Source organism: Homo sapiens, chromosome 2 (genome assembly GCF_000001405.40).
Source record: "Homo sapiens chromosome 2, GRCh38.p14 Primary Assembly".
Classification (NCBI taxonomy): Eukaryota; Metazoa; Chordata; class Mammalia; order Primates; family Hominidae; genus Homo; species Homo sapiens.
Window position 1 is genome coordinate 196758843 of NC_000002.12, and position 18933 is coordinate 196777775.

At 35.9% G+C, this 18933-nt stretch overlaps 1 protein-coding gene across 2 annotated transcripts in view; it reads right to left on the reverse strand.

Moving 5' to 3' along the window:
* The window catches only part of GTF3C3 (general transcription factor IIIC subunit 3), a 36649-nt gene continuing 21908 nt past the window's right edge, over positions 4193-18933 (reverse strand). For both annotated transcript variants that reach the window (NM_012086.5, XM_005246965.5), the window contains 8 exons: positions 17585-17787; positions 17168-17269; positions 16274-16409; positions 14074-14311; positions 12906-13096; positions 11073-11197; positions 7723-7875; positions 4193-5843 (listed from right to left, as the gene is read on the reverse strand). In NM_012086.5, the coding sequence (NP_036218.1) occupies positions 5721-5843; positions 7723-7875; positions 11073-11197; positions 12906-13096; positions 14074-14311; positions 16274-16409; positions 17168-17269; positions 17585-17787 (1271 nt within the window). In that variant the 3' untranslated portion in view covers positions 4193-5720. The remainder of the gene's footprint in view (positions 5844-7722; positions 7876-11072; positions 11198-12905; positions 13097-14073; positions 14312-16273; positions 16410-17167; positions 17270-17584; positions 17788-18933) is intronic.

The following is an 18933-nucleotide window of genomic DNA, read 5'->3' on the forward strand; positions in this document are numbered from 1 at the left end:
TAAGGCTGAAAAACGGGCAGCAAGAAACACATACTAGGGTCCAGCTGCCCTTCTTTCAATGCTGATGGGAGCCGCACAAACAGAGCTTATGGATCTGATTGCTCAAATGTGGAGGGCGAGACTGAGATTTTTTTCTATTGAAATGTTGAAAGTTAGACAAAACATATTAAGACAATTAAATTTTATGAAATACAGTCCTAAATTTATAGAAATGCACTGCCATCTACTGCATATAAAAAATCATTGCAGGGTATGTTCCTCCCACTGGAATTATTTATAATCAAGCAGTCACACACACTGAAATGTACATGAATTTATAAGATGTGGCAACTGCCACAAAGAACTCATTTAGACTTTTATAACCTTTAATTTTCTTATCTGAAATGTTCTCAGTTTTCCATTTTGTCTCTTTAAATTCTATTTTCATATTTTCATTGAATTAATTCTTGCAATTACATTTTAAATCTTATAATGTTCTCATTCTTTGAATTCCTTCCTTTTAATAGCATCCTCTTATTTCATGTGTATGGTATTGTCTTATCTGGGGATATGAACTGCGTTTTGTTTTTCTACTTCCTGCACCAATTCTGTTCCCTTTGCGTTCCTTCCTCCCCTCCCATTGCTTATATGGATCTCTCCCAGTCCTGAAGCGTTCCTCAGTAGTCTGATGATCGTGAGCTGTCCACTAATGCTGCTAGCAAGGTGCCAGCAAGCTGACAGCAGTGCGAGGGATTTGTTCACAGGCAGGCTTCTCTGGCCAGGATGGGCTGTTTCATTGAGAACCCTCAAACTGCCAGTATATATATGAGCATTTTTTTCTTGGACAGGATTTCTCAGAAAGGAACCCTTTAACTTCCTGCTTAAAGGATGTTAAATAGATGCCAGTTTTCTAGGAGCTTAGGAGGAGAAGGCAGCTGGGCATCTCGCTGCTCAGTGTGTAGACGTCCACTTAATCCTCTGCTTTCAGTATAACACTCTGGCCTTCATCTCTGCCTGGTATTCCCGAATCCAGAGGTCCTGATTCCACAACTCCAGAAAATAAGACCACCAGTGTTCCATGCGGGAGTGGGACAGTTTCCATAGGTGAAAAGGGTTAACTAGGAGGGTCTCACTGTGGCTTAACAGACTTTCCACTGCTCCCATTTTTGACCACACTTCACCTGTCTTTGGAGGAACCTAGTGGACAAGCTTTAAGGTCTTGAATCAGCTTGCTTCTGCCCCTCTCCCCACCACCTCCTGTGGGCACTCAGCTTTCATTTTTCTGTAGTTTATTTAGTTACCAATTGCCCATTTGCTTCCTAGTTTCTAAAAATTATTTTGTCGTCTCTCTGTTATCTCTTATTCTTTTTGGCCTGGAGTTTATATTGTCTTTTTTGTTTGCTGTGTTTTGTTGGTTTTTGGATTTTGGAGGTAAAAGTAACTGTGTTACTTTTGAGATGGAACAGGGACCCCTCTTAGGGGCCTGCAGCCTGTCCCCGCACCAAACAAAATTTTTTTAAAATCTTGAATTCCTTAAAAAAAAATTCCAGATACCTAGCTAGCCCTAAAAAATAACATAATGAACAAAAAGATAATAACTTAAAACAATAGCCAAAAAAATTAGTCACTGGATGGTTTGGGTCTCTATAAAAACTAAAAAGAGCATCTTATAACATACGTCCCTAAGTTGTTTTTCAAAAAACCAGACCCGCCACCAAGTGGATCCACTGACACATAAACCTCTAGTAAGGGGGAAATGAAGATTAAATGCTGCCACTCCTTGCTCTGAATTTCTTCCTGAAGGGTCTAAAAGAAGTCATACCCAAGAGCCAGGGCCAACATTCTTTTCTGATGACCCCAAAATTTTAAATAAAGCTTCTCTTCCTTAACCAATTACAAATCAAAAAAATCTTTAAATCTGTTACCTATAAGCCCCCACTTCAAGATATCCCACCCTTTTAGGCCAAACCAATGTATTATAGAACCTCCATGTATTAATTTACAATTTTGCCTATAACTCTTGCTTAAAATGTACCCCTGCATTTAAAAACCCTTCCTTATGAGCCATTGAAGAGGTCAGGTCCTAAGCATAAACTGCCCAATTCTCCTTGCTTCAAGGTGCCTACAAATAAATGCCCCCCTTTCTCCTGCTGAAAACCTTGGTATGGATGTTTGGCCTTACCATGCTGGGCAAGCAGACCCCAGTTCAGTTTAATAACATTGTTGAGATTTTTCATTAATTCATTAGTATTGGTATTTATTATAACTTCTAGTTTCCCTCCATGCAAATTTGACCATGCCTTATATTGTCACCTAAGTCGTTAATGAACATGGTGGCATGTCATTTGCAGTTTCTCTCCAGTCTACATCAGTCTGTCAACATGCATTCTTTGAGTTCGGTCATTCTACCGGCTGAAGAACCAGCCACACTTTCCCATTCAATCCATAAGCATATCACAGCAGTCTTCCTCACAGACTCTGCTAAAACCCAGATACATAAAATGTAAGATAGTCCTCAGAACCACCAGTCTAGTACCAAGCAAAAAGAGTGTATCTCCTAAAAGATTGAAGTGGAAGTTATTATAGAATCAAGGATATCCTGATCAAAGAATCAAAGAATCTATCTGGATTCTAGAATGAATCCAAGGGTGAGAAGGCAGCTGGCCTTTTTGCTTGGAAAAAAAGAGTAAGTATCCTAAGGAACATCACTTCAAAGAACACACAGATGGCTGGAATCATGCCAGCACTAACATGCCCAAGTGGTTTCCAGAATCCACCTTTTGCCCACTTAAAAAATTCAGTTCATTTGGTCATTTTCTTCTGAGAATGCCTCAAAATTCTAATTTGCAGTTTCATAGCATAGCCATTAGTATAGGGACTATGGGCCTGGAGATGCAGTTCATTTCTAGTCCCCCCTTACTCATATCCTCACCCAATATCTTGGCCATTAACTCCTTTCCTACCCTGTTCAGTATTATGTTGGAGTATATATTCTTTCAATATGAACTATAGTATTATAATACTATTAGCTTTACAACACCACAGCAGGAACATTCCTCCTGTTCTTGCTCTGAATGATTTTGAAAAGCCTGTTTATTGTGGATTAGACTTCGTGACACTACTTGTAATTCAGCAACAAATTTTTATATTCATTTCTGTTTGCTTTATACTTTCTTCCTATGAAAATGGCTAGAAAGCAGTAATGCTAAATTAAAAGAAAGATGGAATGGTGGTCGATCAGGTCAAAATTTTTTGTATGTGCATTTAACAGAAAAACCCAAGCTGGTGTAAATATTAAAGTGGAAACTATAACAGAATCAAGGCTATCTCCTAGAACGAATCCAAGGGTAAGAAGGCAGCTGGCCTGAGGATAGAACTGAAAACTGGAAATCTCTGGGACTTCAGAGAGAACTCTCCTTCGCTCATCTTTACTTCTCTTAATGCAGACACCTCACTTTTTTTTTTTTTTTCAACAGAACGGGTTAACTGCTAGTTGGCCTCATTGTTCTGAAGTTCTGGCCCTACATGAACTATTTCAAGTCTGAAATTCCCAGGGAAGGCGGGAGGAAACTCCTGATTGGCCCAGGTTGGTTCAGGAGCAGACTCCCTCCTCGATCAACTGTGATCATGCAGGAGCAGCAGAGTCTCAGTGCATAAAACAGGTACCAGGACCCCACTGCTAAGGTGAGGATGGGAGGTAAGAGAATAGGAGCTTTTAAAAAGAGACCCCAAAAGATGTTTTTATACAGGGGCTTTGATGGGCTGAAGGCCTGGAAGACAGAAACACTGCCAATGTCTTTTTTCTTTCTAAAATAAACTTATGCTTGGCTGGGTGCAGTGGCTCACACCTGTAATCCCAGCACTTTGGGAGGCCGAGGCGGGCGAATTACGAGGTCAAGAGATCGAGACCATCTTGGCCAACATGGTGAAACCCTGTCTCTACTAAAAATACAAAAATTAGCTGGAGGTGGTGGCAGGCACCTGTAGTCCCAGCTACTCGGGAGGCTGAGGCAGGAGAATCGCTTGAACCTGGGAGGTGGAGGTAGCAGTGAGCAGAGATCATGCCACTGGACTCCAGCCTGGAGACAGAGTGAGACTCCGTCTCAAAAGAAAAAAAAAAAACAAACCTTATGCTTAATGTTTGTTGTTACTCTGAACTACAGCAACTGTGTTCTTCTGAAGGAAAATCTCTGAGCAAGGAGCAGCTTACTAGTGATCTTGAACATGCTATTTAATCTCTAGATACAAAGTGGTGATGACAATATCAATAATAACTACCTTGCAGTTCCCTGAGAGAATCAGAGATAACATATCCAAAGTGTTTAGCACCATACTTAGCATACAGTAGCAGAGTAAAAACTCAGCAAATGGAAGCTATGATTTTAAAAGCTAAACAAAACTATACAATATCAGCTGGTTTTTTTTTCCCTTAGGGAGACTTATTTCCTCCACGGCTATTTAGTAGACACTGGAGCCACAGTCCAGTGAGCTAATTTAAGAGAGAAACTCGGAGCACAGAATGCTCAGTTCCACAGAATTCCAACACACAAGTCTAACTTATTACTGTATCTCAGTTACCTCTACCATTACCTATAAATGGCATAAAGTAAAAATTAAGCATGTGAAACAGTTAACCTCAATTATAAAAATAAAATGCATTTAAATTATACACATGGAGTATACAATATATTTACTTATTGCATACAAATTCTGCTCAACTAGAAAGTTTTGTGTACAGTAGAAACAGTGGTAAGAATTTCTAATAAGTCCCAATTTTATTTCTTTGATCCTAAGCCTCTACTTGTTTCCCTCCCACAATTGGGCTGGGTGTTACTAACCCATGTGCACATTAATTACAGCATTTATTTTTCCCTAAAAAGTTGTTATTAAGCTAACAGTATATCATCTAAAAAGTACTGTTAACTTAAATTCAAGAACATATAATAAATAGTGGAGATGAGTAAACAAACAAAAAAAAAGTTTTTTACTTTATCAATCAGCAGTATGTCCTTTATTCCATACGTACTACTTGCCCAGTCTTATATTACTTGTGATCTTGAAATGGAAACCATGTCCTGTTATTGAACAAGCTCTTCTCTATTTTTTCATCAGAAAGCCACAAATATAGATAAAGCATTTTTTTATTTGCCTTGGAGCAATATATTTTGAATTAAGCCCAGCCTCCCATGTTTCAGTTTAGGTAGCTAAGATACATGCTGGTGAAAAGTAAAAAACTAAATTATTTGTCTTTCTGCCTACCACATAACTATTTTAAATAATTTTCTTAGGTGCTTAGTTATCATGGTCATGACATCATAAAGAGTCCCACTTTGTCTTTCCTTTAATAATAAGCAACCTCTGTTTATACGTATTTGAAAAACTGCCTCATGTGATATTGACAGAGCTATAGTATTAAATACAAAGATGAATAAATGGTGTGAGTGAAAAATAGTGTATTCGACTCCAAGCTAGCTCAAAGGCTTACACGTCCATTTCAACATTGGGAACAATTCACTATAGAATGTGAAAGGAAAATGACAGACCAATATACAAATTTTTGTAGGAATAATTTTGCATATATACCACAAGATCATTATCACATATTAAAAATAAATACACTGTTTGTTAGGTAATTCTGAAATTGTCATTTCTATTTTGGAGTTACAAATAATAAGCCCTGAGACAGAAGACACTGGTCCTCACACAGCAGCTGCCATTGCTCTGTTCTCAGTTGCGGTGCTTTATATAGAACAATAGGTATACAAAAGCGTTTGAGCCATTCCGGTATTCCCACTGCTCTGATAGATGAGAGACAAGTTGTAGGCAATATCTCTTCGTAAGTCTAACTGGTCAAGTTCTATACCCTAGGGAGAAAAAGATACCTTTATGTTTAATATTTCCAACTGTCAACCGGGACAATTTTATGGCAAATTAATAGTTTTATAAGTGTAAGTAAGTTTTCAAAAGGTATTAAAGCTCATGTACTAAAAAAAAATTATAAAACTATGCATATACCTTGGATCAATGCTGATTCAGTTAACAGCATCATCAAATATTTTAACAGTAATTTAAAGTCTCACCCACAAGCTACGGCAGAATAAACGCCAGATGAATTTTGGATTTTAGAGTTAAAAAAGAAACCATAAAAGAAAAAATACAATGGGATAATATAATCTTGGATAGGAAAGGTCCTTTTTATGATAGCAAAAGTAGCAACTATAAAGGGAAAGATTGGTATGACTTCATAAAAAACTTCTCTGTGTAAAAATAACATAGTATTAAATGAACACCAATGAGCCAATGGGAAAACAATTCCTATGCTATCACGGAAAGGCATATAAAGTGTAGGTTTAGGAGGGATACAACAAATTGACTCCAATATTACCTCAGGGGTATTATAGTTTTTCCCACATACATAACAATGCAATGAATTCAATGGACTAGATTAGACCTATGTTTCTAATCTTCCCCAATACAAAAACTTTGGGTCAACTGAAAAAAAAATCTGCAACAATTAAAAATGATACCTATAAAGCTCAATTAACAAGATGTAACAATATTTATGAAATAACACTGTATAAACAACCTTTAATAAACAATCTCTTAGGTGTATTTGAAAACTGCCTCCAGTAATATTGACAGGACTATAGTATTAAATGCAAAGATTAATAAATGGTGTGAGTAAACAATAGTGTTTTTATACATATAAAAATATATATAAATATGTATATATGAATATGCGTATACACCTATTTTTATATATACATATGCATATATAAATAATATGTATGAAATACATATATAAATATGTATAAAATATTCAAATAGTAAATTTATATATAAAAACAGCATCACTATAAAATATATATTCATTTGTTTAAACTGAACAGTAATAGAAAAACAATTGTGCCGGGCGCAGTGGCTCACGCCTGTAATCCCAGCACTTTGGGAGGCTGAGGCGGGCGGATCACAAGGTCAGGAGATCGAGACCATCCTGGTTAACATGGTGAAACCCCGTCTCTACTAAAAATACAAAAAATTAGCTGGGCGTGGTGGCAGGCACCTGTAGTCCCAGCTACTCAGGAGGCTGAGGCAGGAGAATGGCGTGAACCCGGGAGGCGGAGCTTGCAGTGAGCCAAGATCGTGCCACTGCACTCCAGCCTGGGCCACAGAGCAAGACTCTGTCTCCAAAAAAAAAAAAAAAAAAAAAAATTGTGAGGGAGTACAGGAGGGATTATGAGTTTTAAAAGTTTGTTTCTAATACAGTGCTATGTTAAAATACATTTAAAAATTAACATATTTCAGGATTTAAAATAAAAATCAGACTTTAAACACAGATCATCATAGTATTGGCAACACTTTACCCTATCTTAAAAAAAAGCTACATTAATACTGGTCTTTCATCTTTATAAAGAAACATGTGAATTACACTTGGAAACAGTCACAATATTCTTCACTATTCAGAGGTTACGTCTACCAGTTCCTGTCTGTAAAGCACAGGAACTACCCTGGAAACTAAAATGCTCACAGCCACAAGCTGTATATGTTCATATGGTTGCTGGTCAAGTCATAAGGCTCAGATGTCGAAGTGGTACCTGTTCCTGAACATAATTACGTAAACATACTGAATAAGAGAAAATACATTTTAATATACGAGCTATAATTTACTGGCTGGACTTAGCTAACTGCCCTTATCTACAGACAGATGAAATGAAGTGTCTCAGTTTTAAAAATGCACAATACCTCTACCACAAGTGGAGGGAGCTCCAGGGCCTTCTGATAATAGTGGATTGCAAGATGAATCAGCCCCAACTGATGAAGGCCACGGCCCAAATTGTAGAATGATTCCTGGCAGGGCCCACGTAAACTGAGGTATCGATTAAGAAAGGAAAAGCCCTAACCAAAAAGAAAAAGATAATTCAATATTTCACTGATTTGACAATTATGTACTAGACCACTGTATTACCAGGTGCTGAAAATACAAATATTTTTTAAAAACCTATCTATCTGCTTAGTGTCCTATTACTGTGTAGTATTACAGTGTAGTTAGGTGTCAACATTATAGCTCTTCTGAAGATGTAAGAATTTTTTTTAGCTAGGGATAAATATTCACAGAAAACAGAGCCAAATGTTACAAGTAGTTACCAGAGATTCATAATCTACAAATACACAAAACTTTTAAAAAATAATTTGAAGTTGGCTTGTGCCGTTATAGGCCAATAAACTTTTTGATGTGAGATTGACGCCTAAAAGATTGAGCAAGATATAAAATAATGATAATGTACAAAGGTTTCCTCTCAGGAGCAAATTCACTTGAGTATACTTAACCTTTTAGGGTAAATTTTACCTTTTATAAGTTACTTCTCAGGACCTTGATAACCTCTTAACCCAAAAAAACTGGATTTTTTTCTCCTGAAAGCTTCTGACTCAAAGACTATGGAGAAACTATTTCAGAGCACAGCTACAATGACGCTGGCTCCCTGTGGGTCACACAGTCCAAAAAGCAACTTGTTTCTTTACCTCTTCCCATATTCACTTTCCCTTTTAATAGAGCTTCAGCTTTTATCATTCACTGAAATTACAAATTGCAAAGGTCTGAGTCCTAATTAAGTAATCAAATATATTACCAGATAATTAAGAATAAATCAATTTATGAATATAGAATATAAAATGTAATTATTCTCTAGATGATCTGCTATATAATAAGTGGTCACAAATTTTCCTTTATAAATAGGTAAATAATAAAAATGAATTATTTTAAATGAATGCATTTTAGGGGTAGTAATACTCGTGTTCAGTATACAAATCATACTTTCTGCATAATAAAATAACCTATTTGTGTGACTATGACCTCTATTCCACTGAAAGACACAGCTCTCTTAAGTACCAGCAGACTATTCGACTGCAAAGAAATATCAAGTATTCATAGTTAAAAATGACAAATTTAAAGATAAAAATATGAGGAAAAAGGAATAGTAATCTCAGATGAATTGTTGTAATGCAAATGAACCTGTAGGTCCCCTAATACAATAATGGAATAACTTGCTGCCCTTTAAGAAATGTTTAACAAATTTAAGAGGATAACCTGAAAGACTATTCAAATAATATTTAGTGATTTAAAAACTAGCCAATGTGGGTAGCCACTTTGTAGGTACTGTGAATTATCAAATTTAAAAACTGCAAAACAAATTCTATTGTTCTATTCTGTTCTGTTCTCCCAAATGGAGTCTTGCTCTATCACACAGGAGTGCAGTGGTGTGATCTCAGCTCATTGCAACCTCCACCTCCTGGGTTCAAGCGACTCTCCTGCCTCAGCCTCCCGAGTAGCTGGGATTACAGGCACACGCCACCACACCTGGCTCATTTTTGTATTTTTATTAAGACCATGTTTCACCATATTGGCCAGGCTGGTCTCAAACTCCTGACACCTCAAGTGATCCACCCGCCTCGGCCACCCAAAGTGCAGGGATTACAGGTGTAAGCCACTGTGCCTCGCCAAAAACACACAGTTTAAATTGAAAAGAAAAGAGTTCTTTTGACATTATGTTACATTTCAAACATTTAAATCAAATTAATCACTAAAGGGCCCAATGTACTCACTGTCTATACAATATTAAATAAAAGTAGAAGTAATGAAACATTGACGATTTTACTTTTAATACAATATAAAGGTAAGAAAGATAATAAACCATAAAAAAAATTTTTTTAGGTAGTATAATAGAAAACTATAGTCTTGTAGCAAGAAGAAAGAAAAATAAGAGAAATTAAAAGTTTCAGAAATGATGCTATTTACAATAAAACCTGCTTCTCAGAAACTTTTTTTATGGAAAATGTTTAACATACACAAAAGAGATTAGTCCAATGAACTTCCATATTCTCATTACCTCTTGTTTCATCTCTACCTCCAACCACTTGAAACCTCCTATTTAACTATAAAAGTAATTTGAAATTTAGCTTCCATATTACTTTGAAGTACATGAATTTTTGTCCTACCAAGCCCAAAAACTACATATTTTACATATTTAATGAGTTAATCCATAAAATTTTCCTATCAATTTTTACCAGAATTTTATGAGGGCAAGAAATTCCATCTGTGTACTTACTCACTGCTACGTCCCCGATTCCTGGCACACAATGAGCACTACGTTTAATTTATACACAATCCTACATTACTTAGTACAGCAAATAGTATCCATTAAGGAAGAAAAAGAAGCTTTGAGGAAAAGGTAGATAAGAATATAAAAAAGGAAAAATTTAGAAGTTTTTGTTTTTCAGGATTTTTAAAAAACTTATTATAGAAATTTTCAAATATACAACAGTAAAGAGACCACCTTAATGAACTCATACCTAGTTTCAACTGTTATCACCATTTTAATGCAGGCTTTATTTTAACCATTTTACTTTAAAAGAAACAAAAAGCCCCTTACTAGACCCTGCAACTCCATTCAAGTCAACATTTTCTTTCTTTTCTCACCTACTACTTAATAAAAGACATGTCTATACCATATCATATTTTGGAAACATCAAACATACAAAAATGAAGTCACAGAAATGAAAATGCTGAAGGCAAAGTAGTGAACAATATTTCTGATCTGCTGGACTTTATACTTTTATTAGAAGAGACAAGCCATTAAGGTAGACAACAAGAAACATAATTTCAAATTATTATAAGAACCACAAAGAAAATTTTAAAAGGACAGTTTGTTGGTGATGGTGTAAGGAAACAGGCACAATCATATTATTGTATAATTTTTTTTTTCAACTACTTTAAGTGAATCTTCAGTACCTCAGATGGTTAGAGACCTTGAGGACCAGACTATAAGGAAGCCTGCCAGTGCATTCCTCCAGATTCTGCCTGTGTCTTTGTCCCTAAAGATCTGGCTGTGTACCTTTACTATATCGCTGTAATAAGTCTTAATCATGAGTATAATTATATGCTGAGTGCTGAACACTGGGGTAAGTGTTGGGGACCCCCGTCATGTGTACTGAGAGCATTGTGTATTACTTTTGAAGCAGGATTTTTAAAAAAAGTATTAAGTATATTCATTTTTAAGAAACATAAAATCAAGTAACGAGAAATTTGAATGAATTACCTGTACAATAAGAGCATGTCTCCGTAACACATACTTCTGAGATGCCATATGAATAAAGGTTAGGCCTATACAGAAGCTATAGAGAGGTTCGTCAGGGTGAGTGCGAAAGGCTTGCACATACTGTCCTGGAAAATAAGCAGTGGTGTCAGACGGTGTGACAAGAACAGAGTTATTTATTTCTTCAACACTTTTAAGGCCAAACATTACTGATTTTAACATACATAAGGTGGACATTCTATCTTAAATAGCAACCAGAGACCTATTAATTTGAATTTTAAAACAATGTATAAAATAAAACAAGTTCCCCATGAATGTATGCTGACCATGAAGATTCATATGAGGAACTAAATTAACTTTTTCTAGGCACAGCTAGACATTTCCATGTAAAGTAATACTTCCAAAATAAACAATTTATCAGCTGCAATCATTAAATCTATTTTATGACCTTAAATCTAGTTTGAAAAGAATGGAGGAGGTGTGTTTTGGTGAACATTTTTATAGAATCAACTGATCTGTTTTATAAATTCAAATGTGGTGGATCATGGAGGTGAGAAGAGGAAAGCTTTGTTTTGTTTTTTAGACTACAGGTGTTGTTTTCCCAAATGTAGCAATTATTTGTTTTTTCTGAGAAAGCTAAATGTATCCAATAACAGAATAAGAATTTGGAGTTTTATGAATTACATGTATTCCATATATACAATCATCTCTTGTCAAAAGCCTAATCATATGCAGTAGGGGTATTTAAGCAAGTTTTTCTCATAAAGGAATAACATATAATGTATCACATATAGATGAAAATTTCTCTTCCTTCTGGCTTCTATTTTGGAAGGAATGGCACCACAGAATCTCTTAGGCAGCAAAGATGGTAGACTGCCATTTGTCTATCATTTTAACCTTTTGTAAAAGTTTCTAATATAGGAAAATAAAATATTTTTATTTTCTTAATATAAAACAATTCCACAAAGCACACACAAAAGAGGAATGTTTCAACATCTGATGTTTGAGGTTACTGGATGAACGATGATAAAAATACGGGCCATATACAAGGAATCATGAACGTATCAAATAGCCAAAAACCATAGTTTACTCATAAGAAGTAAATCTGGCAACACCACCTTTTAGGTAGTAAGACATGCATGCCTAATTTTAAGTTTAAACATTTAGTTAGTTAGATGTTTTTCTACTTGTTTGCTTCTTCTTTAATTTTTTTTTAAAAGGAGACTCTGCAAGTAATACTTGTTTACTTCTGATTCCTTATTACAGAAATTCCTTATTATAAATGATTAATGAAGTTTCCTTGAGTTTAATTAGAATTAGTAACCACCACATAAATAAATCTTAATATAGATTTAGCTCCTGAAGGAATGAACTTTCAGCAAATCTTGAATGTTTTGCATTATGGCAAATTAAAATCAGGTGGCAAAAGCATCCATAATTAATGAAAATCATTTTAAAAATAAATAGGCCTAAGCAGGGAGAATTGTTGACCGTTAAAATGAATTTTATAAGACCTGTGTCAGCCTTTTACAACCAAAGCTTAGTAAGAATAACAAATATTAATATTAGTAATTATCATTTTTGCTATTATATCCACTTACTATATGTGCCAGGCACTGTTTTAAGTTCTTTATATTGATTCATTTAATTTTCACAATTATCTACAAAGTAGGTCCAATTATTATCTCCATTTTAGAGATCAAGAAACTGAGGCAGGAGGAGGTAGAATAATTTGTCACAGTGAGGCTGATAATTAACCCAGACAGTTCCAATCCAGAGGCTAGGCTCTTCACCACACTATTTATGCTTGACAAAGTCACGTGCCAGGACACTTACCAAGCGCATGCTTAAAACTACCAGATACAAATGCATTGTGTCCATTTAAGACACATAGGGCATGATTTTCTGGGTTTTTCAGCATCAAACGGAGACAGAAGCGATGATGTCGTACATCTTGGGAGTGCATGGTAACTTGATTGAAAATGTTCCAGAGCTGGGGTTTATTGACATTTTCCATTACCATTATCCTAAAATTGCAGGAAGAGGGTGAGGGAGAAAATAATGTAAAAATCTTCCTGATTTCTAAAAATGAAACCCTTCAGTGCTGTCCTACCAGCACTGAAATGTACCATCCTCCAACAAGGAAAAGCAGATAGTTTCAATCTATTTAAAGCAAAACTCTCCTACGCAATAAAAGATTTTTCCCAGAAAATGTTGCTTAAGTTAGTGTTTCTATATCTTATTTCTACTTTCAACAAAACTTTTAAACTAAAACAGGAGCAAGTGGTTTAGGTTTCACTTTTTCTCTCCTTGCCCACTATAGCTGCAGTACCGAATAACAATTCATAATATTTGCCAGGCATTGGCCGGGCACCGTGGCTCACGCCTGTAATCCCAGCAATTTGGGAGGCTGAGGCACCTGAGGTCGGGAGTTGGAGACCAGCCTGACCAACATGGAGAAACCCCGTCTCTACTAAAAATACAAAATGAGCTGGGCCTGGTGGCACACGCCTGTAATCCCAGCTACTTGGGAGGCTGAGGCAGGAGAATCGCTTGAACCTGGGAGGCGGAGGTTGCGGTGAGCCGAGACTGTGTCATTGCACTCCAGCCTGGGCAATAGGAGCAAAACTCCATCTCAAATAATAATAATAATTATAATAATAATAATTGCCAGGCATTATTAAAAAGGCATAACAACTCCTTTAACCTTCATCATAACCCTATGAGATGGCAGTATTATGATATCCTTTTATAAGTGGGAAGACTGTGGCACTAGAGATTACCTAACTAGCCTAAGGTCACGCAGCCAGTAGGCGTCAGGGCTGGGATTTGAACCCAGAAAGTCTGGTCCTAGAGTGCATCTTCTTATATACTGCCTCTGGGAATCACCAATTAACCAGTTTATTGTTTAATGGGAGAGCCAAAAGTAAAGTAGCTTCTAAATCAAAGTACATGTACTTACTCTATTAAAGAATCTAATTAAAATAAATAACTGGGAAATCACCTGATATAGTTGTATGCCTTTCTGAAATTTTTGTCCAGAATTGCAGCAGACAGACCAAAGTATTCTAGTTCTTTGCGTTTTTGCCTGTCATCATAAAATGAGTAATATTCCAATGAGGAATCTACAAGCAACTCAGCCTCTTGAAATCGGGATAGGTCACATAAGGAGTATATGGCCTTCAACAGAAGATTCCACCAGTCATCCTTTGTCAAGACGCTTGTGAGCACAGCAAATATTGCTAAAATGAGACCAATGAAAACCAGTTAGGACACTGTATTTCCAGAAATAGCAGTATTAGAAAAATTCACATCATCAATTTTAAGACAAGTTTAATAACCATGAGCCTAAATTGTTGCCAGTGCTCTCCGGACAAAGATGAGAAGGGGTAGTTGCTTGCTTACACTCCTTCAATACTATCCGCTTCTTCTCTGCCAGTTTAACAATCTGCATTCCCAGGCACCTGATTCGGACTTGGTCTCTACAAGTTCCAGCTAGTTCCATCTGCATTTCTCCTTGCTAGCTAAGATATATCTCCTCCAGGGTAGAACAAGTATACTTTCTATGACTGTAATCCCATAGGGAAGCAGTCCCCAACCTTTTTGGCACCAAGGACCAGTTTCATGCAAGGCAATTTTTCCATGGGCCAGGGCTAAGAAGGATGGTTTCAGGATAATTCAAGCACATTACATTTATTGTGCACTTTATTTCCATTATTATTGTTGTAATATATAATGAAATAATTGTACAACTCACCATAATGTAGAATCAGTGGGAGCCCTGAGCTTGTTTTCCTGCAACTAGACAGTACCATCTGGGGGTGATGGGAGACAGTGACAGATCATCAGGCATTCAATTCTCATAAGGAGCGTGCAACCTAGATCCCTCGCATGGGCAGTTTACAATAGGGTTTGCACTCCTATGAGAATCTAACGCTGCTGCTGATCTGACAGGAGGGGAAGCTCAGGTGGGAATGGTCGCTTGCCCACCCACTGCTCACCTCCTGCTGTGCGGCCCAGTCCCTAGCAGGCCACGGGCTGGTACCGGGGTTGGGGACCCCAGTGATAGAGGATTACGTACATACAGGCATTCAAATGTTTGCTCAGCAAAATACTTCAAATTCATACTTTGAGATTCAAGTTGTTCTTGATCTTTTTCTGATCTCAAGTCTCTTTAACAACCTCCTTCTCTTCCTTAGTTCTCTGTAAAAAGCCTCCCTTTGATAGCCCTTAAGGAATATCAAAAGCCATAAAAAATTTTACTGTCTTTGATCCAATAATTTTCCTTCTGAGAATCTATCCTAAACAAAATATGGACAAATCTGTATGTATGAAAATGCTTACTACATTACTGCTTATAAAACTGCCAAAAGTGACCATATGCCAAAAAATAAGAAAATGATTAAATTATGGAACCACTATCCAATGGAATACTACACATTCCTTAAATATAACTATGAAGAGAACAGAGCAACATGATAAAATGTCTATGAGAAAATGTAAAGTGAAAAGATCACAGTACAAAGTTGCATGTAACATAAAAAGGCTTAGTTCATCCTATCCTGGTACACCAGTGTAATGTGATCCTCACCATGATAAAATTTACAAAACAAAACAACAAAACCTTATGAGCCTAAGAAAAACTAACCATGGACCTCCAGTGAGGAATCACTGAAAGAAAACAGGCAGATCACACAGGGAGAAAAATACAACATAAGGAAACATGGTTAAAAACACAAGCTGCAGAGGTAGAATCTGTAGTCTTTTAAAGTTATATTACTTGAGACTAGGTCACAGCAACTTATTTTCAAAGAGTTTCTATGACTATTGCTACATTTGTTAAAAATTATTTCATAGAGAATGGAATATATATAAGTGAAGTCTGGACAAATCATCTATACTGTCATCTAATCTTCACAAATTTCTTAAAATATATTTTCTTTTTAAAAAGTCAAAGTTTTGTTTTACTTCTTTCACAGATCCAAGCAGATGCTTTCCTTTTAATTTTTTTTAATTTAAAGTATTTACATTTAGCCTTTCCTTTTTAACATCGAATGAGTTTATTACACTTGAGAGATTTAGATTGGAAAATTTCATTTTATTTGAAAAGTATATTTTCAATTAGATTGCTGTCCAGTGTTACTTCATGAGTCTTTTTCAATTCAGCCAAATTTTATATAACATAATGCAAATGAAGTTATTACCTTTTGCATCACAATTTGCTGACTCTTGGTCATTGCTGTCTGATATTTTGTCTCTCGATACTTTAATAAGATAAAGATGCCTCTCTCCAGACTTGGAACTGGATATCAAACAAACTTGGGCTCGATTCATTGCTACCTGAATTAAAGATGAAGATTTCAGATTCTTTAAACAATAACTGTTTTGTTTAGAGACAAAGTCTTGTTATGTTGGCTCAGGCTGGATTTGAACTCCTAAGCTCAAGTGATCCTCTCACCTTAGCCTCGCAAGTAGCTGGGACCACAGGCACATGCCACCATACCCAGCTCTAAACAATAATTTTTTAAAGAAAACCTATGGGTCACAGGTGCCACAAGACTGAAAGCTCCCTTAGTAAGAAAAAAGGAAACCAAATTACTATATTAAAAAACTAAAATTAGAATGAACTGACTTATTTTTCTCTTACCAAAGGAATTTTGGGTCACATTCCTCACCTCAGAAAGAAAAAAGGCAATTCACGTTAACATTATAACATGCATATACACACATCCCCAGAGATACACCCACAGAGCTACCTCCCTGCAAATAAGCTGGACTCGGAAAGAATATTAGATCTGGAAAATACTTTTGCAAAGTGAGTAATTTTGGCACATAGTACTGTCCACAGGGCCAATATCTGATAGACCATGGTGCTCACTTTTCTAAATATGTACTAGGGAAGATTTTCACTTAAGCTACTGTCAAGAACTTTCAGTCATATACCAATAACCTCTAGCTTTTTTGTTTTTATCTTTCATTTTTAAAAGTTTGAGTTTAATGAAGAAAAACAATTATAAAGTAGTATAATCTATGTTTAAATGAAATACTAAACATTTAAAAAGTCAACAAGGCTAACATAAAGAAAGATCATTACCCACCTTTAAAAGCATGGCTAACATAGTAAGTAAGGTATCCACATAACCATACATTTTGCCTTGTGAAAACAACAGAGTAGAACGATGAAGCAATAACTTCAGTTCCTAAACAAATAAGCACATGATGATGAGCCTAACAAGATTCCTTTTCTACAAATTGTTTTATTTGCATAGAAACATTTTTAAAAAAACAAACCATATTGCTTTATGGTCTTTCACAATAATTAAGAGCCAATATTTTAAAACTATAATTTGTAACCCAACCAGTGGCTGAAATCCAATACTTAAAATCATTTTTCAAAAACTTGAATACACTAAAATAAAATTTTGGATATAAGCTATAGAGACATCCTTAATGGAGGAGAAAGTTCTAAAATATAATATACCAAGAAAAACTTCCCTCTATGTGACATGGCCCACCTGCTGTGCAGCATTTGCATCCTGTGCTAAAGTATCTGGATCATACATTGGTTCCAGAGCTTCCAGAGCTTTCTCAGGCTGGCCCAGCTGCTGCTGAAGGGTAGAAAGTGAAATCCTTGCATCCAAATGGAGTGGGGCCAGATCAACCACCTTGCCATAGCTTTCAGCAGCTCGCTCCATATAGCCTAAGGCCTTTAAACATTCTAAGATGATGTTAAAATAAAGCAAAAGTATGAACTACAGATTTGTAAACTGGCCACAATTACTCTTCCATTTTAAAAGAAATATAGCAATATAAAAAATTATAACAAGAAATGAATGCGTATTTCTAGTACTTTAAAACTATCCCTAATCTCTATTAATCAATCGATCTAATAAATTTAAATTGCTAAGGAGTAATCAGTGTATACATATAATTTAGGGTTCTGCTTTATTCATTGAGCATTACATTTTAAACACTGTCTTCATTGGCATTTTGAATGGTTACATAATCAAACTGATTATGTAATTATATCATTTGCCATTTAGGTTGCTTTCAAATTTTTACTCTAATAAATAATACTGCAGTAAACATCTTCACATATATAAACCAGAGCACACAATCGGCAGACCAGTGTAACCCACAGGTATGTTTTATTAGCTCACAGTGCTTTTAAAAACTATTAACATCCTACATTTCTTAAAATTAGGATTTTAATAAAATCCAGGGTATTGGATTCTTTTGAAAGTTCTGTATTTGGCCACAGTGGGTGCCCCATTCCCACATGACACATCAGTCCATGCAGAGAAAGTGCCCTTTAGAAAGGCCTCCTCAGTTTCCACCTCTCCCTAGTATTCTCTCTCTCTCACTTCACTCATTTTTGTTACCTGCCAGGCTCCCAAGTTTTGTGATCCCCAATAGAAACTACCTCCTCTCATCCCACTCAATTAGTTCCTGAGTATAAGTTCTCAGAGTGAGGTTACTGGGCCCTATTTCTCAAACTTTACACCCAATCAGTCAATCAATCAATCAATACATGCGATCATTTGAACGTGAAAACAAGTCTCTGTGAGCATTTCTTCTTTCCATCCTTTTCGCTGCACTGTATCTCCTAAGTATTTTTACCTCCAGTTGCTTTTTCAAATCTCTCCTGACCATCATCTTTAGGTTAAATTTTGATAATAAAGGAAGAACATTAATATGGATGGATCATCACAGTGACATTTCTTACATTTTCTCATTTTTCACTTTAAAAACATTTTGTTATTTTGTTACTGAAATAACTGAATTCCTCTAATTATCTTTCTTATATACTGATCCCAAATTTCTTTATCATTTTTAGATGACTCTGAGATTTTATCTTTCATTC